The sequence below is a fragment of the Homo sapiens genome, chromosome 5, assembly GCF_000001405.40.
Source record: "Homo sapiens chromosome 5, GRCh38.p14 Primary Assembly".
In the NCBI taxonomy this organism is placed as follows: Eukaryota; Metazoa; Chordata; class Mammalia; order Primates; family Hominidae; genus Homo; species Homo sapiens.
In genome coordinates, this window is record NC_000005.10 from 60,647,964 (window position 1) to 60,669,477 (window position 21,514).

Genomic DNA, 21,514 nt, shown 5'->3' on the forward strand with positions numbered 1-21,514 from the left:
GCAAATGCAGAAATAAAGAATTATAAAATGTCTATAGTGTTCAAGGGAAGTTTATATGAAGGTGAATCTGGAGACTCACCAACGAGAGTACTGAAGGAAACAGAATGTGTCACCTCAAAACATTCCTCTTTGACATAATTTTTTGGGGCTAAAGGCCATTTGAAGCAAATATGGAAAAGTGCTTTGTCTTTCCTCTGTTTGCCTAAGAGCAGAGTATTATTAATATAAATACAAAAAGTCTATCTTTCCCTCTTTCCTGCCTCAAAACAGTAGGTAAATTCTCCTTTACAACCTTTATCAGCTTAGAGACTACACCAGAGGCATCTAAGCAGACTTCATTAGTTTCCCCATAAATTTACCTTCCCACACCTTCCTGCCTTTGGAAGCCTTAAACTGCTTTCATGTGTCCTGACGCTTCTCTAAAATTTATTGCTCTTTGTTGAAGACCATATAAGCTGGGACTCTAAGGCACTGCATCTAGTTATTTTTCTCCCACGGGATGTGCACTGCACACATTAACAAACTTGCTTGTTTTTCTCTTGTTAATCTGTCTTTTCTTGCAGGAATATGTCCCAAGTATGAACTTCTGAAGGTTGAGGAAAACTATGATTTCTCATCTTCAAATAGAGAAACATTTCAAAAACAGTCGCAATAGATTTGAAAAGGAATGACAAGTGGAGAAAAGTTGCATTTCATCTTTTCTGAAAAGAATATCCAATAACTATTTTAAACATCAGTTTTGGGTCAGTTAAAAAAAGAGAGTTCTGGAAATCAGTAAATTAAGTTAAAGATAGTTTAAAGTTTGGTAATCAAGTTACCAAGGCAGGTGTTCCCAAAAGATTCCAAAATATAAACTAAATGAATCTCTATAGCCAAAGCATCTTTCTTTATAAATAAAGGGTGGCTTATAAAAGTCCAATTTTATTTCCTACAAGTCAACAATCCCAACAAATGCCCATTTCCAGACAAAGTACAGCATTTATGCATATGTATGTGCACATATGCTCACATACAGGTAGGATATTGAATGTAATTGCCGGAGTTCACAGATCACCCACTTCTCAGTTCATTCAAAACTAAACGCAATCCCTACTCCCATCCCACCACTAATGCCCTCTGTTTATTCTCCCACTTCATTCCCTCGACTATGGCATAAAAATTTTTGGACCTGAATTCCAGGCTTTCTCACAAACTCTCTATGTGTCTTTTGGAAAGTATAAGTCTCTCTAAATAATAATTTATTTATTTGTCAAATGAAGGAATTAAATTGGATGACCCATAAATTTTCTCCTAAGTTCAAAAAGATGCTTCTTATATTCCCATAACCAGAAAAAAGTAGTATCTTCCAAAGACCAAAACAGAATTTGTTACATGCAAAACTGTGACTGAAGAAATACCAGGAAATCACCTTTTTCCTCCACACTAAGAAGATGAGATCTTTGCTGTCAGTAATATCTGCAGTTACCAATAGAAGGTGTGCTATCTATTTTCACAGCAGTCTGACAACTTTGTCTGAGAAAAAATGCAGAAGAGCTCCCTCCAGTGGAGTACTTCTATTTCGGGCATTGAAAGTTAGCAATTTAATCCTAATATTTTAATAATGTAATATTTCACCTGTTAAAGATGATCCAGTTCAAATGCCACATTTTTCACTCAGAGAAATTAAGGCTCAAAAGAGGAAAGCAACTAATTTAAAAGCCTCACAACTGGCCAAGAGAACAAACCATCTTACACAAAGGATTTGCAAGCCTTTTATTAAGAAAATTATAAAATTTTTACACAAAAAAAAGACAGTGTGCCCCCCTAAAAAGAAAGAAAACTATAAAATTTTATTGAAAGACATTAAAGAAGAACTAAATTGATAGCTATATTATGCTGGTGAATAAGATTCTTTCTTAAACTCAGGTTCAAGCAATCCTCCTGTCCTTCTGTTTCAGCCTCCCAAGTAGCTGGGATTACAAGTAGTTGCCACTGTGCGCAGCTTGGTGAATAAGATTCCATATCATACAATGTTAATTTTCCCCCATGAAGATACATAGTTACAAAGAAAATTTAATAAAAATATTAATATAAAAATTTTTATGAAACATCATAAACTTATTCCAAACCAGGCACGGTGGCTTACACTTGTAGTCCCAGCTACTCGGGAAGCTGAGATGAGAGGATCACTTGAAGCCAGGAGTTCAAGACCAGCCTGGGCAATAAAGCAAGACCCCCATCTCTAAAGTAAAAAAATAAGAAACATGATCAACTGATTCTAAAATTTATATGAAAATGCAAAGGCCCAAAAATAAGACATTCTTAAAGAAGAAAAACAAAGTGAGGTGACTTGTCCTATCAGATATCAAGGCTAACATAATACGGCAATACTGATGGCAGAGACCATAGTTCCTCAAGCTCCGCACTGTTGACATTTAGGGCCGGATAGTTCTTTGTTGTGGGGAGCTGTCCTGTGCACTGGGGGATGCTGCTAAGTGCAAAGCATCCCTGGCCTCTACTCACTGGATGTTAGTAGCACCCTACACACAACACACACACCTGTTGTGACAACAAAACATTTCTCCAGACATTGCCAAATGTCTTCCGCAAAATGGCCCCCAGTTGCGAATCATGGGCCTAAACAAAGACAATTCAAAACAAATACACACTACTCTTTAGAAACATGATTTATGATAGAGCAGACATTACAGATCAGTGGGAAAGTATGGACTGTTCAATAAATAGTACTGAGCCAACTGGTTATCCATTTGGGAAAAATGAAATTGCATCCCGGTTCAGCCTGCCATATTTCCAAAGGTGTTTACAATCATACCTCCTAACCATATGCTCTTTTGCAATATGATCTTGCCACTACTGTATCAAGAGGCAGAATGTCTTTCTCTACCCTCTTCAAGTCTAGGTGAGCCCTGTCTAACTGCTTTGATAAATACAATAAGGAAGAAGCACTAGCCTAACTGGCTAGAACTCTCTTCCTGCCTCTTGAAACTCTCACTCTTGTATAACTCATTATTATGAAGCTCCCTCTTGGAAACCAGCCATCTTATAAGAAGTATGACTACCGTGAGCCCACCATGTTGTCAAATACCTAAGCAACAGGAAGAGGCCCTAGAAGATGAGATACTGCAAGGAAATAAACTGAGGTAAAGGAGCACCAAAATTCCAGATCTGCAAATAAACAAATATTCCTGGAGGTGGATTCTCTAGCCTCAGCAGCCGCAGCTGATGCCCACCTAAGCAACCTTCCAAAATTCCTGATCCACACAATTATGTAAAAACTACAATGGGCCGGCACAGTGGCTCACACCTGTAATCCCAGCACTTTGGGAGACCAGGGTGGGTGGATTGTCTGAGGTCAGGAATTCGAGACCAGCCTGGCCAACATCGTGAAATCTCGTCTCTACTAAAAATACAAAAATTAGCCGTGCATGGTGGCGTGTGCCTGTAATTCCAGCTACTCGGAAGGCAAAGACAGGAGAATTGCCTGAACCCAGGAGGCGGAGGTTGCAGTGAGCTGAAATTGCACCACTGCACCACTTCAGACTGGGCAACAGAGAGAGACTCCACCTAAAAAAAAAACAAAAAAAACAAAAAAAAAACTAAAAAAAACTACAATGGTTATTTTAATCCAGTAAGTTTGACATAGTTTTATTACACAACAGATAACTAGAAAAGAAATGTGTGGTATCTGCAACAGGATCGGGCAGTGAAATGGATGCATGAAGGGCCTCAGATGGACTTCTTAATAGAGGTTGAAAGAACAGTAAGGAAGTTGTTGTGAAACAGTATGGAAGGTGGAGAAAAAAATCTGTGTTGCACAGTGGCATAAATTTCAGTACAACTGTCACCTGTGGTAATAGGGAAACTAGAAAAGGTGGATCTGGTGAACAAATTTCCCAGGATGAATGATGAAAATGACAACTGGTTTCTTTTATAACAGCTGCAATAACCAGGTGTGGATTGTGCCAATTTAAGAATGATGAGGTGGATAAATTTGAAAAGAAGAGCTTTATTTCTCATAAAGGGTTTCAGCCTGTATGCTGGCCATCCCACAGGATGGGAAACAAAGCCTCCAACAGCAGCTGAGAGCAAGCACTTTGAGGGAGGGGTAAAGGGAACAGGAATTTATGCTGAGTGAGGTAGCCAAATATGCATATTTAATAAGCTAAAGGAAGAGTCATGAATATTTATGAAAGAAGAAATATGCACATGTGCAATTGCGCTTCATGCACCTTTCATGGGTTGCATGTTCAAAAAATGGTGGCATTAGCATGATCTGAAAATGGAGTTTTCAGCCCACTGATGTCAAAAGATGAAGCAGAGGACACAAAACCATCACCGTGTATCCTCCACCAGTCAGCCAAAACCGGTCTGGAGATGGTGGTCAGTTTTTAGCAAGGGATGTATTGTGAAATTGCAAAAAAAGTAGGAAGAGTCCAGTCACAGCCTCAGATGATTGGCTTAAGATGATAAAGCAATGAGTCATCTGTTTCTTGTTCTCCAGAGCTGGTTTCTGTTTATTTCTTAGGAAAGAAATCTGGTTAAAGGTTACTAAGGAAGGGACATACTGAGGCTTGTCCAACCCCCTATCCCATCATGGCTAGGAACTCAGTTTATAAGGTTTCTTTTTTGTAGAATCCTTTTTATTTATTTATTATTTCAATAAGTCTTGAGGGACAGGTGGTGTTTGGTTACATGAATAAGTTCTTCAGTGATGATTTCTGAGATTTTGGTGCACCCATCACCCGAGCAGTGTATACTGTAACCAATGTATAGTCTTTTATCCCTCATCACCCTCCCACCCATTCCCCAAGTCCCTAAAGTCTATCATATCATTCTTATGCCTTTGCATCCTCATAGCTTAGCTCCCACTTATAAGTGAGGACACGCAATGTTTGGTTTTTTATTCCTGAGTTACTTCACTTAGAATAATGGTCTCCAATTTCATCCAGATTGCTGCAAATGTCATTATTTTGTTCCTTTTTATGGTGGAGTAGTATTCTATGGTGTATATTTATACACACCATATTTTCTTTATCCACTCATTGATTAATGGGCATTTGGGCTGGTTCCATATTTTTGCAACTGCAAATTGTGCTGCTATAAACATGTGTGTGCAAGTGTCTTTTTCGTATAATGACTTCCTTTCCTCTGGGTCGATACCCAGTTGTGGGATTGCTGGATCAAATGGCAGATTTACTTTAAGTTCTTTAAGGAATCTCCATCCACACTGTTTTCCATAGTTGTACTAGTTTACATTCCCACCAGCAGTCTAAACGTGTTCCTTTTTTGCCACATCCATTTCAACATCTTTTTATTTTTAATGGTCATTCTTGCAGGAGTACAGTGGTATCACATTGCGGTTTTGATTTGCATTTCCCTCATCGTTAGTAATGTTGACCATTTTTTCATGTGTTTGTGGGCCATTCGCATATCTTTTTTTGAGAATTGTCTACTCATGTCCTTAGCCCACTTTTTGAAAGGATTGTTTGTTGTTATCTTGCTGGTTTGATTGAGTTCCTCGTACATTGTGGATATTAGTCCTTTGTCAGGTGCGTACTTTGTGAACATTTTTCTCCTACTCTGTGGGTTATTTGTTTACTCTGCTGATTATTTCTTTTGCTATGCAGAAGCTTTTTAGTTTAATTAAGTCCCATCTATTTATTTATTTGTCTTTGTTTTGTTGCATTTACTTTTGGGTTCTTGGTCATGAAGTCTTTGTCTAAGCCAATATCTAGAAGGGTTTTTCTGATGTTCTGCGATTTTTATGATTTCAGGTCTTATATTTAAGTCTTTAATCCATCTTGAGTTGATTTTTGCATAAGGTGAGAGATGAGGATCCAGATTCACTCTCCTACATGTGGCTTGCCAATTATCCCAGCACCATTTGTTGAATAGGGTGTCCTTTCCCCACTTTATGTTTTTCTTTGCTTTGTTGAAGATCAGTTGGCTGTAAGTATTTCACTTTATTTCTGGGTTCTCTATTCTGTTCCATTGCTCTATGTGCCTATTTTCACAGCAATACCATGCTGTTTTGGTGACTATAGGTTTATAGCATAGCTTGAAGTCAGGCAATGTAATACTTCCAGATTTGTTCTTTTTGCTTAGCCTTGCTTTGGCTATGTGGGCTCTTTTTTGGTTACACATAAATTTTAGGATTGTTTTTACTAGTTCTGTGAAGAATGATGGTGGTATATTAATGGGAATTGCATTGAATTTGTAGATTGCTTTTGGTAGTACAGTCATTTTTACAATGTTAATTCTACCCATCCCTGAGCATGGAATGTGTTCCATTTGTTTGTGTCATCTATGATTTCTTTCAGCAGTGTTTTGTAGTTTTCTTTGTAGAGATCTTTCCCCTTCTTGATTAGGTATATTCCCTAAGTTTTTTGGTGTTTTTTTTTTCTTTTTTTTTGGTGGGGGGTACTATTGTAAAAGGAATTGAGTTATTGATTTGATTCTCAGCTTGGTCACTGTTGGGTTATAGCAGTGCTACTGATTTGTGTACATTAATTTTGTATCCTGAAACTTTACTGAATTCATTGATCAGTTCCAGGAGCTTTTTGGATGAGTCTTTAAGGTTTTCTATGTATACGATCATATCATCAAGAAACAGTGACAGTTTGACTTCCGCTTTACCAATTTGGATGCCTTTATTTCTTTCTCTTCTCTGCTTGCTCCAACTAGGACTTCCAGTACTATGTTGAATAGAAGTGGTGAAAGTCAGCATCCTTGTCTTTTTCCAGTTCTCAGGGGGAATGCTTTCCACTTTTCCCTGTTCAGTATAGTGTTGGCTGTGGGTATGTCATAGATGGCTTTTATTACCTTAAGGTACATCCCCTCTAGGCTGATTTTGCTGAAGATTTCAATCATAAAGTGATGCTGGATTTTGTCAAATGCTCTTTCTGTGTCTATTGGGATGATCATGATTTTTGTTTTTAGTTCTGTTTATGTGGTATATCACATTTATTGACTTGCAGATGTTAAACCATCCCTGCATCCCTGATATGAAACCCAATTGACCATGGTGGATTATCTTTTTGATATGCTGTTGGATTCGGTTAGGTAGTATTTTATTGAGGATTTTTGTATCTATGTTCATCAGGGATATTGGTCTATAGTTTTATTTTTTGTTATATCCTTTCCTGGTTTGATATAAGGGCGATAATGGCTTCATAGAATGATTTAGGGAGGATTCCCTCTTTCTCTATATTTTGAAATAGTGTCAATAGGATTGGTACCAATTCTTCCTTGAATATCTGATAGAATTCAGCTGTGAATCCTTCTGGTCCTAGACTTTTTATTGTTGCTGGCTATTTTTTTCTTACCATTTGAATCTCGCTGCTTGCTATTGGTCTGTTCAGAGTTTCTATTTCTTCCTGGTTTTATCTAGGAGGGTTATATATTTTCAGAAATTTATACATCTCCTCTAGGTTTTCTAGTTTGTGCACATTAAGGTGTTCCTAGTAGCCTTTAATGATCTTTTGTATTTATATGGTATCAGTTGTAATATTTCCCATTTTGTTTCTAATTGAGCTTATTTGGATCGTCTCTCTTTTCTTGGTTAATCTTACTAATGGTCTATTGATTTTGTTTATCTTTCCAAAGAACCAGCTTTTTGTTTCGTTTATCATTTGTATTATTTTTTGTTTCAATTTCATTTAGCTCTGCTCTGATCTTTGTTATTTATTTTCTTCTGCTGGGTTTTGGTTTGTTCTTCTTTCTCTAGTTCCTTGAGGTGTGACCTTAGATTGCCTATTTGTGCTCTTTCAGATTTTTTTATGTAGCCATTCAATACAATGAATTTTCCTCTTAGTACTGCTTTTGCTGTATCCCAGAGATTTTCATAGGTTGGGTCACTACCATAGTTCAGTTCAAATAATTTAATTTCCATCTCGATTTTGTTATTGACCCAACAATAATCCAGGAGCAGGTTATTTAATTTCCATGTCTTTGCATGGCTTTGAGGGTTCCTTTTGGAGTTGATTTCCAATTTTATTCCCCTGTGGTCTAAGAGAGTACTTGATATAATTTCAATTTTCTTAAATTTATTGAGACTTGTTTTGTGGCCTATCATATGGTCTATCTTGGAGAATGTTCCATGTGCTGATGAATAGAATGTATATTCTGCACTCACTGGATAGAATGTTCTGTAAATATCTCTTAAGTCCATTTGTCCTAAGGTATAGTTTAAGTCCATTTTTTTTTTTTTTTTTTTGAGACGGAGTCTCACTCTGCCACCCAGGCTGGAGTACAGTGGTGCGATTTTGGCTCACTACAAGCTCCGCCTCCTGGGTTCACGCCATTCTCCTGCCTCAGCCTCCCGAGTAGCTGAGACTACAGGCACCCACCACTGCACCCAGCTAATTTTTTGTATTTTCAGTAGAGACGGGGTTTCACTGTGGTCTCGATCTCCTGACCTCGTGATCTACCCGCCTCGGCCTCCCAAAGTGCTGGGATTACAGGCATGAGCCACCGTGCCCAGCCCCAGTCCATTGTTTCTTTGTAGATTTTCTGTCTTGATGATTTGTTTAGTGCTGCCAGTGGAGTACTGAAGTCCCCCACTGTATTAGTCTGTTTTCATACTGCTATAAAAACTGCCAGAGACCAGGTAATTTATAAAGAAAAGAAGTTTAATTAAATCATAGTTCTGCATTGCTGGGGAGGCCTTAGGAAACTTACAATCATGGCAGAAGGGGAAGCAAACGTGTCCTTCTTCACAAGGCAGCAGGAGAGAAAGAGCAAACAAGAGCAGAGAAAATTGCCCTATAAAACCATCAGATCTCATGAGAACTCACTCTCAGGGGAACAGCATGAGGAAAACTGTCCCCAGGATCCAATCACCTCCCACCTGGTTCCTCCCTCAACACATGGGGATTGTAGGGATTTCAATTCTAGAAGAGATTTGGGTGAGAACACAGAGCCAAACCATGTCACCCACAATTACTGTGTTGCTGTCTATCTCATTTCTTAGGTCTAGTAGTAATAGTTTTATAAATTTGAAAGCTCCAGTGTTAGGTACATATATATTTAGGATTGTGATATTTTTCTGTTGGAACAGTCCTTTTTATCATTATATAATATTCCTCTTTGTCTTTTTTAACTATTGTTGCTTTAAAGTCTGTTTTGTCTGATATAAGAACAGCTACTCCTGCTCGCTTTTGGCATCCATTTGCATGGAATATCTTTTTCTACCCCGTTACCTTTAGTTTATATGAGTGCTTATGTGTTAGGTGAGTCTCTTGAAAATAACAGATACTTGGTTGGTGAATTCTTATCCATTCTGCCACATTCTGTATCTTTTAAGTGGAGCATTTAGGCCATTTACATTCAATGTTAGTACTGAGAAGTGAGGTACTATTCTATTCATTGTGCTACTTGTTGCCTGAATACCTTGTTGTTTTTTTTCACTGTTTTACTGTTTTATAGGTCCTGTGAGATTTATGCTTTAAAGAGGTTCTATTTTGGTGTATTTCATGCATTTGTTTCAGGATTTAGAGCTCCTTTTAGCAGTTCTTATAGTAGCTTGGTAGTAGCAAATTCTCTCAGCATTTGTCTTTAAAAGACTGTATCTTTGCTTTGTTTATGAAGCTTAGTTTGACTGGATACAAAATTCTTGGCTGATAATTATTTTGTTTAAGGAGGTTAAAGATAGGACCCCAATCCCTTCTAGCTTGCAGGGTTTCTGCTAAAAATCTCCTGTTAATCTGATAGGTTTTCCTTTGTAGGTTACCTGGTGCTTTTGCCTCACAACTCTTAAGATTCCTTCCTTCATCTCGACTTTAGATAATCTGATGACTATGTGCCTAGGTGATTACCTTTTTGCGATGAATTTCCCAGATGTTCTTTGAGCTTCTTGTATTTGGATGTCTAGATCTCTGGCAAGGCCAGGGAAGTTTTCCTTGATTATTCCCTCAAATATGTTTTCCAGACTTTTAGATTTCTCTTCTTCCTCAGGAAGACCAATTACTCTTAGGTTTGGTCATTTAGCATAATCCCAAATTTCTTTGAGGCTTTGTTCACTTTTTTAATTCTTTTTTTCTTTGTCTTTATTGGATTGGGTTAATTCAAAAGCCTTGTCTTCAAGCTCTGAAGTTCTTTCTTCTATTTGTTTGATTCTATCACTGAGACTTTCCAGTGTATTTTGCATTTCTCTAAGTTTGTCCTTTATTTCCAGAAGTTGTGATTGTTTTTTATTTATGCTATCTGTTTCTCTGAAGATTTTTCCATCCATATCCTGTATCATTTTTTAAATTTCTTTAAGTTGAACTTCCCCTTTCTCTGGTGACTCCTTGAGAAGCTTAATAATCTACCTTCACAATTCTTTTTCTGGCAATTCAAGGATTTCTTCTTGGTTTGGATCCGTTGCTGGTGAACTAGTGTAATCTTTTGGGGAGTGTTAAAGAACCTTGTTTTGTTATATTACCAGAATTGTTTTTCTGCTTCCTTTTCATTTGTGTAGATTATGTCAAAGGGAAGATCTGGGGATCAAGGGCTATTGTTCAGATTATTTTGTCCCATGGGGTGATCCCTTTGAGAGACAACACTAGCTGGATTTCCTAGGCCGACTAAGAATTCCTAAGCCTAGCTGAGAAAGGTGACTACATCTACCTTTAAACATGGGCTTGTAACTCAGCTCACACCCAACTAATCAGGTAGTAAAGAGGACTCACTAAAATACAAATTAGGCTAAAGCAGGAGGTAAAGAAATAGTCAAATCATATATCACCTGAGAGCACAGGGGGAGGGACAATGATCAGGATATAAACCCAAGCATTCCAGCAGGGAGCAGCAACCCCCTTAGGGTCCCCTCCCATTGTATGGGAGCTCTGTTTTCACTCTATTAAATCTTGCAACTGCACACTCTTTTGGTCCATGTTTGTTACGGCTCAAGCTGAGCTTTTGCTCACCATCCACCACTGCTGTTTACCACTGTCGCAGACCGGCCACTGACTTCCACCCCTCCGGATCCAGCAGGGTGTCTGCTGTGCTTCTGATCCAGCGAGACACCCATTGCCGCTCCCAATCGGGCTAGAGGCTCACCATTTTCCTGCATGGCTAAGGGCCCAGGGTTCGTCCTAATTGAGCTGAACACTAGTTGCTTGGTTCCACAGTTCTCTTCCATGACCCACAGCTTCTAATAGAGCTATACCACTCATCGCATGGCCCAAGGTTCCATTCCTTGGAATCCATGAGGCCAAGAACCCCTGGTCAGAGAACAAAAGGCTTGCAGCCATCTTGGGAGCAGCCCACCCCCATCTTGAGAGCGGCCCGTCGCATCTTGGGAGCTCTAAGAACAAAGACCCCCTCCACCCCCCGTAACATCTGGTGGCCCATATGGGGATTCTCCAAAGCAGTGAGTAATATCGGACCACTTTCGCTTGCTATTCTGTCCTATACTTCCTTAGAATTGGAGTAAAATACTGGGCACCTGTCAGCCAGTTAAAAACAGTAGCATGGCTGCTGGACTTAAGACTCAGGTGTGAGGCTATCTAGGGAAGGGCTTTCTAACAACCCCCAACCCTTCTGGCTTGGGAGCATTGGTCTGCCTGGAACCAGCTTCCACTTTCACAATTTTCCTGGGGAAGCCAAGGGCTGACTAGTAGCAGAAAGCTGTCATCCCGAACTCCTGGCATTAGCCAGTTGAGATCACGGCACAGCCAGAAGTCTCTATTCAACCAGCCGCCCATGTATGCGCCCCACCTTTCCTTCTGACCCATACCTCCTGGGTCCCAACCATGACTTTCTTGAAAGTGTAGCCCCCAAATTCTCCTTACCTCTGAATCTACTTCCTTTGATCCCTGCCTTCTAGGTACTAATGGTTCAGACTTTCATTCCCTCTAGCAAGTTGTATCTCCAAAGGGATCTAAAGAAGCTCTATGCTGCATCATTAGGCATCTAAGCTATGAACCCAGGGAGTCTTGTCCCCGGTGTCCCTCCAATTTAGGTATACAGCTCTTGACATGGGCAGTTATGTGGGACCTGTTCCCCACCACCCTTGCAGGGCCTTAGAACTGATAACCCAGTACTTTAACAACTGGAACTGGATCTACAACAACATAATAGATCAGGATGAAAATGAATTGAGTAAATTACAGGGAGGCGCGTATTCCTATAGTGGCAAATGGGGGCAACAAGCAAACGTCCTTCCACTGTGTTTCCAAAATCCATCTACAAGGAGATAGAGAGGAGGAGAGAGAGAGAGAAAGAGAGAGAGACAGAGAGGAGAGAGAGAGAGAAAAACAGGAGACAGAAAGCGAGGAGAGAGAGAGACAGACAGAGAGGAGAGACAGAGAGGAGAGAGACAGAGAGAGAGACAGAGAGGAGAGAGAAAGAGACAGGAGAGAGAGACAAAGGGGGGGAGAGAGAGAGAGAGAGAAAGAAAAGAAGTAGTAAAGAAAAAAGTGTACCCTATTCCTTTAAAAGCCAGGGTAAATTTAAAACCTATAATTAATAACTGAAGGTCTTCTCCGGGACCCTATAACACTCCAATACCACTTTGTTGTCAGTATAAACAAGAGCGTAGCCCAAAAGGACTGAGGCCACTGACAACCCACAGCCTTCCTATCAAAAATCCTTAACCCAGTAACCCGTGGATGGCCCAAATGCATTCAATCTGTAGCAGCAACTGCTTTGCTAGCAGAAGAAAGTAAAAAAATAACTTTTAGGGGAAACCTCATTGTAAGCACACCTCACCAGTTCAGAACTATCCTAAGTCAAAAAAAGCAAAAAGGTAGCTTACTAACTCAAAAATCTTAAAGTATGGGGCTATTCTGTTAGAAAAAAGGTGATTTAACACTAACCACTGAAAATTCCCTTAACCCAGCAGACTTCCTAACAGAGGATTTAAATCTTAATTACCATACAAAGGTCCAACCAGACCTAGGAGGAACTCCCTTCAGAAAAGGAGGACAGATGGTTCCTCCCAGGTGATTAAGGAAAAAACACAATGGGTATTCAGTAATTAATAGGGAAACTCTTGTAAAAGCAGAGTTAGGAAAATTGCCTAATAACTGGTCTGCTGAAACGTGCAAGCTGTTTGCACTCAGCCAAGCCTTAAAGCACTTACGGAATAAAAACAAAAAAAACTCTATCTCAATCCTGACTCAAAAGGTTACCTACACCCTCTCTGAAATAAATTTGCATAAGAACTGTTGTTTATGGGAATACATCTTAATGGGGCAGCTGGGTTATGAAATACTCAGGAACCCAGCTCAGCTCTAGGACTCACCCCAGAGCACAAAGGCAATGTTGGGCACGCTGGTAAAGGACCACTAGAATCCAGAAGCCTGGAACCCTTTCTTTGTGGTCAAGAAAAGCAGGAAAAGGGGTGCAGGACTGCTACATTGGTAAATGTAACTAATCTGATAAGCAGAGGTCCATGGGTGGTTACACACCCTGGAAAGGAATAAGCATTAGGACCATAGAGAACACTCTAGGACTATGCTCGTCGGAAAAAGACTAGGGGTCCTGGCATCCCTATGTACTTTTTTCAGACGGGAAACGTTCCCCTCAAGGCAAAAATGCCCTTAAGATGTATTCTGGAGAATTCAGCCCAGTCAGAGTGCATGTACCTTTTTCCCTCTCAGACTTGAAGCAAATTAAAACAGACCTAGGTAAATTATCAGATAACCCTGATGGCTATATTGATGTTTTACAAGGGCTAGGACAATCCTTTGATCTGACATGGAGAGATATAATGTTACTGCTAGATCAGATACTAACCCTAAATAAGAAAAGTGCCGCCATAACTGCAGCCCGAGAGTTTGGCGATCTCTGGTATCTCAGTCAGGTCAATGATAGGATGACAACAGAGAAAAAAGAACAATTCCCCACCAGCCAGCAGGCAGTTCCCAGTGTAGACCCTCATTGTGACACAGAATCAGAACATGGAGATTGGTGCTGCAGACATTTACTAACTTGCGTGCTAGAAGGACTTTAAAAAACTAGGAAAAAGCCTATAAATTATTCAATGATGTCCACCATAATACAGGGAAAGAAAGAAAATCCTATTGCCTTTCTGGAGAGACTAAGGGAGGTACTGAGAAAGCATACCTCTTTGTCACCTAACTCTATTAAAGGCCAACTAATCTTAAAGGATAAGTTTATCACTCAGTCAGCTGCAGACATTAAAAAAAAAACTTCAGGCCGGGCATGGTGATTCACGCCTGTAATCCCAGCACTTTGGGAGGCTGAGGCAGGTGGATCACGAGGTCAGGAGATTGAGACCATCCTGGCTAACACAGTGAAACCCCGTCTCTACTAAAAATACAAAAAATTAGCCGGGCATGGTGGCAGGCGCCTATAGTCCCAGCTACTCCAGAGGCTGAGGCGGGAGAATGGCGTGAACCCGGGAGGCAGAGCTTGCGGTGAGCTGAGATCACGCCACTGCACTCCAGCCTGGGCAACAGAGTGAGACTCCGTCTCAAAAAAAAAAAACTTCCAAAGTCTGCCGTAGGCCCAGAGCAAAACTTAGAAACCCCATTGAACTTGGCAACCTCGGTTTTTTATAATAGAGATCAAGAGGAACAGGTGGAACGGGACAAATAGGATAAAAAGAAGGCCACTGCTTTAGTCATGGCCCTCAGGCAAGCGGACTTTGGAGGCTCTAAAACAGGGAAAGGTTGAGCAAATCGAATGCCTAATAGGGCTTTCTTTCAGTGCAGCCTACAAGGACACCTTAAAAAAGACTGTCCGAATAAAAATAAGCTGCCCCCTCGTCCATGCCCGTGATGTCAAGGGAATCACTGGAAGGCCCACTGCCTCAGGGGACAAAAGTCCTCTGAGTCAGAAGCCACTAACCAGATGATCCAGGAGCAGGATTGAGGATGCCCAGGACAAGTGCCAGCCCATGCCATCACCCTCACAGAGCCCCAGGTATGCTTGACCATTGAGGGACAGGAGGTTAACTGTCTCCTGGACACTGACGTGGCCTTCTCAGTCTTACTCTCCTGTCCCGGCCAACTGTCCTCCAGATCTGTCACTATCCGAGGAGTCCTAGAACAGGCAGTCACTAAATACTTCTCCTAGCCACTAAGTTATGATTGGGGAACTTCACTCTTTTCACATGCCTTTCTAATTATGCCTGAAAGCCCACTCCTTTGTTAGGGAAATACATTCTAGCAAAAGCAGGGGCCATTATACACCTGAACATAGGAAAAGAAACACGTTTTTTTGTCCCCTACTTAAGGAAGGAATTAATCCTGAAGTCTGGGCAACAAAACGACAATATGGATGAGCAAACAATGCCCGTCCCGTTCAAGTTAAACTAAAGGGTTCCACCTCCGTTCCCTACCAAAGGCATTACCTGCTTAGACCCGAGGACCAATAAGGACTCCAAAAGATTGTTAAGGACCTAAAAGCCCAAGGCCTAGTAAAACCAAGCAATAGCTCCTGCAATACTCCAATTTTAGGAGTACAGAAACCCAACGGACAGTGGAGGTTAGTGCAAGATCTCAGGATTATCAATGAGGCCGTTGTCCCTCTATACCCAGCTGTACCTAACCCTTATACTATGCTTTCCCAAATACCAGAGAAAGCAGAGTGGTTTACAGTCCTGGACCTTAAGGATACCTTTTTCTGCATCCCCGTACATTCTGACTCTCAATTCTTATTTGCCTTTAAAGATCCTTCAAACCCAACATCTCAACTCACCTGGACTGTTTTACCCCACAGGGTTCAGGGATAGCCCCCATCTATTTGGCCAGGCATTAGCCCAAGACTTGAGCCAGTTCTCATACTTGGTCACTCTTGTCCTTCGGTATGTGGATGATTTACTTCTAGCCACCCATTCAGAAACCTTGTGCCATCAAGCCACTCAAGCGCTTTTAAACTTCCTCACCACTTGTGGCTACAAGGTTTCCAAACCAAAGGCTCAGCTCTGCTTACAGCAGGTTAAATACTTAGGGCTAAAATTATCCAAAGGCACCAGGGCCCTCAGTGAGGAATGTATCCAGCCTATACTGGCTTATCCTCATCCTAAAACCCTGAAGCAATTAAGAGGTTCCTTGGCATAACAGGCTTCTGCCGAATATGGATTCCCAGGTACGGTGAAATAGCCAGGCCATTATACACACTAATTAAGGAAACTCAGAAAGCCAATACCCATTTAGTAGAATGGACACCTGAAGCAGAAGTGGCTTTTCTGGCCCTAAAGAAGGCCCTAACCTATGCCCCAGTGTTAAGCTTGCCAACGGGGCAAGACTTTTCTTTATATGTCACAGAAAAAACAGGAATAGCTCTAGGAGTCCTTACACATGTCCGAGAGACCAGCTTGCAACCCGTGGCATACCTGAGTAAGGAAATTTATGTAGTGACAAAGGGTTGGCCTCATTGTTTACAGGTAGTGGCAGCAGTAGCAGTCTTAGTATCTAAAGCAGTTAAAATGATACAGGGAAAGAGATCTTACTGTGTGGCCATCTCATAATGTGAACAGCATACTCACTGCTAAAGGAGACTTGTGGCTGTCAGACAACCATTTGCTTAAATATCAGGCTCTATTACTTGAAGGGCCAGTGCTGCGACTGTGCACTTGTGCAACTCTTAACCCAGCCACATTTCTTCCAGACAATGAAGAAAAGATAGAACGTAACTGTCAACAAGTAATTGCTCAAACCTACGCTGCTCGAGGGGACCTTCTAGAGGTTCCCTTGGCTGATCCCGACCTCAACTTGTGTACTGATGGAAGCTCCTTTGTAGAAAAAGGACTTCAAAAGGCGGAGTATGCAGTGGTCAGTGACAATGGAATACTTGAAAGTAATCCCCTCACTCCAGGAACTAGCGCTCAGGTGGCAGAACTAATAGCCCTCATTCAGACACTAGAGTTAGGAGAAGGAAAAAGAGTAAATATATATACAGAATCTAAGTATGCTTACCTAGTCCTCCATGCCCGTGCAACAATATGGAGAGAAAGGGAATTCCTAACTTCCAAGGGAACACCTATCAAACATCAGGAAGCCATTAGGAAATTATTATTGGCTGTACAAAAACCTAAAGAGGTGGCAGTCTTACACTGCCGGGGTCATCAGAAAGGAAAGGGAAATAGAAGGGAACCGCCAAGTGGATATTAAAACCAAAAGAGCCGCAAGGTGGGACCCTCCATTAGAAATGCTTATAGAGGACCCCTAGTATGGAGTAATCCCCTCTGGGAAACCAAACCCCAGTACTCAGCAGAAGAAATAGAAAGGGGAACCTCACGAGGACATAGTTTCCTCCCCTCAGGATGGCTAGCCACCGAAGAAGAAAAAATACTTTTGCCTGCAGCTAACCAATGAAAATTACTTAAAACCCTTCACCAGACCTTTCACTTAGGCATTAATAGCACCCATGATATGGCCAAATCATTATTTATTGGACCAGGCCTTTTCAAAACTATGAAGCAGATAGTCAGGGCCTGTAAAGTGTGCCAAAGAAATAATCCCCTGCACTTCAGGCTATACATTTCAATCTCTGTATCTTTAACCTCCTTGTTAAGTTTGTCTCTTCCAAAATCAAAGCTGTAAAACTACAAATCGTTCTTCAAATGGAGCCCCAGATGCAGTCCATGATGAAGATCTACCGCAGGACCCCTGGACCGGCCTGCTAGCCCATGCTCCGATGTTAATGATATTGAAGGCACCCCTCCCAAGGAAATCTCAACTGCATGACCCCTATTACGCCCCAATTCAGCAGGAAGCAGTTAAGAGTGGTAGTCGGCCAACCTCCCCAACAACACTTGGGTTTTCCTGTTGGAAGCGGGGACCGAGAGACAGGACTAGCTGGATTTCCTAGGCCGACTAAGAATTCCTAAGCCTAGCTGGGAAAGGTGACTGCACCTACCTTTAAACACGGGGCTTGTAACTCAGCTCACACCCAACTAATCACGTAGTAAAGAGGGCTCACTAAAATACAAATTAGGCTAAAGCAGGAGGTAAAGAAATAGTCAAATCATATATCGCCTTAGAGCACAGGGGGAGGGACAATGATTGGGATATAAACCCAGGCATTCCAGCAGGGAGCAGCAACCCCCTTAGGGTCCCTCCCATTGTATGGGAGCTCTGTTTTCACTCTATTAAATCTTGCAACTGCACACTCTTCTGGTCCGCGTTTGTTACAGCTCGAGCTGAGCTTTCGCTCGCCGTCCACCACTGTTGTTTGCCACTGTCGCAGACTCGCCACTGACTTCCACCCCTCCAGATCCGGGAGGGTGTTGGCTGTGCTTCTAACCCAGCGAGGCGCCCATTGCCACTCCTGATAGGGCTAGAGGCCTGCCATTGTTCCTGCATGGCTAAGGGCCCAGGGTTCGTCTAATCGAGCTGAACACTAGTTGCTGGGTTCCACAGTTGTCTTCCGTGATCCACTGCTTCTAATAGAGCTATAACACTCACCGCATGGCCCAAGGTTCCATTCCTTAGAATCCGTGAAGCCAAGAATCCCAGGTCAGAGAACAAAAGGCTTGCTGCCATCTTGGGAGCGAACCGCCACATCTTGGGAGCTCTAAGAACAAAGACCCCCCCCATAACACCTCGATGTGGTACTCTCCCCTTTTCCCTAAGGATGGGCTTTCTGAGACCCAAATTGCAGTGATTATGTTATTTCTCTTCTGGGTCTAGCCACCCAGTGCATACTGGGCTCTGGACTGGTACTGGGGAGTGTCTGCCAAGATTCCTGTGATGTGATCTGTCTTCAGGTCCCTCAGCCATGGATACCAGCATCTGCTCAGGTGAGGGTAGCAGGGGAGTGAAGTGGACTCTGTGAGGGTCCTTGGTTGTAGTTTTGTTTAGTGACTGGTTTTGTGTTGGTTGGCCTCCAGCCCAGAGGTGGCACCGACTACCCTAAGACCATCACGCTACAAGAAGCACAACCCACATGGAGATAACCTAGAGAATGAAACCTCATGTAGAAAGAGAGGTCAAGCAGCACAAAGACACATTTGTGAGCAGAGAAAGAAGCCATCTTAGAAGTAAATCTTCTAGCCCAACTGACACCACCTTTATTGGAAGAGAAAAACTACTAGTTGAGCTCTTTCTAAATGCTTGCCACAAAACCCATGAGTAAAATAAAATGGTTACTTTAAGTCACTAAAGTTTGGGGTAGATTGTTTCTCAGCAATACAAAATCAAAACAATTCCTAACTCACAGCATGAATAAAAAATCATGGGCAAAACCATTAAACATAAGGCACAAAAATATCTCTTATTCTAAGATAAAAGAAAATATATCTCTCTGACTTTGAGTAATGAAGGGACTTGTTTTAAGAAAGGTATTAAGACCACACAACATAAAGGAAAAGACTGATAGATTCAACTACATTAAAATTAAGAACTTTTCTGTTCATCAAGATACCATAAAGTGAAAAAAAGAAAGATCTTTGTAATCCATATAACTGATAAAGTGTAAATATCCAGAATACATATATATATAAAATGGATATTTTACATATATACAAAAAATGGATATTTTACATATATACAAAAAATGGATATTTTACATATATACAAAAAATGGATATTTTACATATATACAAAAAATGGATATTTTACATATATACAAAAAATGGATATTTTACATATATACAAAAAATGGATATTTTACATATATATAAAAAATGGATATTTTACATATATAAAAAAGTGGATATTTTACATATATAAAAATGGATATTTTACATATATATAAAAAATGGATATTTTACATATATGAAAAATGGATATTTTACATGTATATAATGGATATTTTACATGTATATAATGGATATTTTACATGTATATAAAATGGATATTTTACATATATATAAAAAATGGATATTTTACATATATATAAAAAATGGATATTTTACATATATATAAAAAATGGATATTTTACATATATATAAAAAATGGATATTTTACATATATGTAAAAAATGGATATTTTACATATATGTAAAAAATGGATATTTTACATATATGTAAAAAATGGATATTTTATATATATAAAAAATGGATATTTTATATATATATAAAATGGATATTTTATATATATAATGGATATTTTATATATATAAAATGGATATTATATATATAAAATGGATATTTTATATATATATAAAATGGATATTTTATATATATATAAAATGGATATTTTATATATATATAAAATGGATATTTTATATATATATATAAAATGGATATTTTATATATATATATAAAATGGATATTTTATATATATATAAAATGGATATTATATATATATAAAATGGATATTTTATATATATATAAAATGGATATTTTATATATATATATAAAATGGATATTTTATATATATATATAAAATGGATATTATATATATATATATATATATGTATTTTTTTTTTTGAGATGGAGTCTCGCTCTGTCACCCAGGCTAGAGTGCAGTGGTGCAATCTCATCTCACTGCAACCTCCGCCTCCCAGGTTCAAGCAATTGTCCTGCCTCAGCCTCCCAAGTAGCTTGGACTACAGGTGTGTTCCACCACGCCTGGCTAATTTTTGTATTTTTAGCAGAGTCGGGGTTTCATGATGTTGGCAAGGCTGGTCTCGAACTCCTGGCCCTCAGGTGATCCGCCTGCCTCGGCCTCCCAAAATGCTGGGATTACAGGCATGAGCCACCATGCCCGGCCCAGAATATATTTTTTTAAACCACAATGAATCTATAAGAAAAAACTTCTGTGAAGAAAGGCAAAACACATGAACCAGGCATTTCCAGATGTGGAATTAGGAACGGTGAATAAGCATAAAAATATACTCAACCTCATCAGTAATCAAGGAAATTCAAGATAACATCATGAAACAGAATTTCACACACATCAAATTGGCAAAAGTTTAAGTCAACATCAAATATTTTCTGCTACTGAAATAAAAATTAGCATACATTCTTTTATGAAGGATGTCTTTCTCAATAAAACTGACAACATTTAAAAAGAGCAGAGCTCCCTCTAGTGGGCTAAATTTCATTTTGCTTTAAAAACTGTAAATTTAATCCTAACATGATCATGGATTCCAGAATTATAAACTCCCTTAGAAAACATCTAGAACAAATTACACATTTGTACACTGAAGAAATTAAGGCCAGAAAAGTTACTGGCCACAGCTAATTGTCCAACCAAACAAGCAGGTCTCCTAGTGCCACCACCACTGCCAAATATTGGCTGGAGAAAAGCAATTTAAAAATAATTCATACCAGAACTATCCTCTGGTGAATTTACTTGTAAAAAAATTAGGATTTATTACCTAATAAATCAATAAAATTATTCTAAGTCATCTAAACCACAAAGAAACATAGTTATAAATCTTAATAAACTTGATAAATGATAGCTCTCTCAATGATTTAAAGCCCTTTTAAGAGATTAACTATATACTGTGGAAGCATCAGCAGAAATTTGCAACATCAACAGCTTTGGCCAGCCTGCCTCCTTGCCTTACTAACTTACAGACTTTGTACCCAAAAACAAAAAGCAAACAACAATACAAAAAAACACAGCCAGATATTGTTTATTATATGGGCTGATCCTTCTGAGACTAC

The 21,514-nt window shown here is 39.9% G+C and overlaps 1 protein-coding gene across 8 annotated transcripts in view, besides 1 other annotated feature; it reads right to left on the bottom strand.

Annotated features, from left to right (window-relative positions):
• Positions 1 to 21,514, bottom strand: part of DEPDC1B (DEP domain containing 1B) — a 103,255-nt gene that overhangs the window by 51,052 nt on the left and 30,689 nt on the right. The window lies entirely within an intron of this gene.
• Positions 4,139 to 4,433: a silencer, noted in NCBI's record as "tiled region #1909; HepG2 Repressive non-DNase unmatched - State 23:Low, and K562 Repressive non-DNase unmatched - State 9:DNaseU". NCBI's record gives its function as "represses a minimal TATA promoter and a strong SV40 promoter by Sharpr-MPRA in HepG2 and K562 cells {active_cell/tissue: HepG2 | K562}" and the evidence as "EXISTENCE:reporter gene assay evidence [ECO:0000049][PMID:27701403]".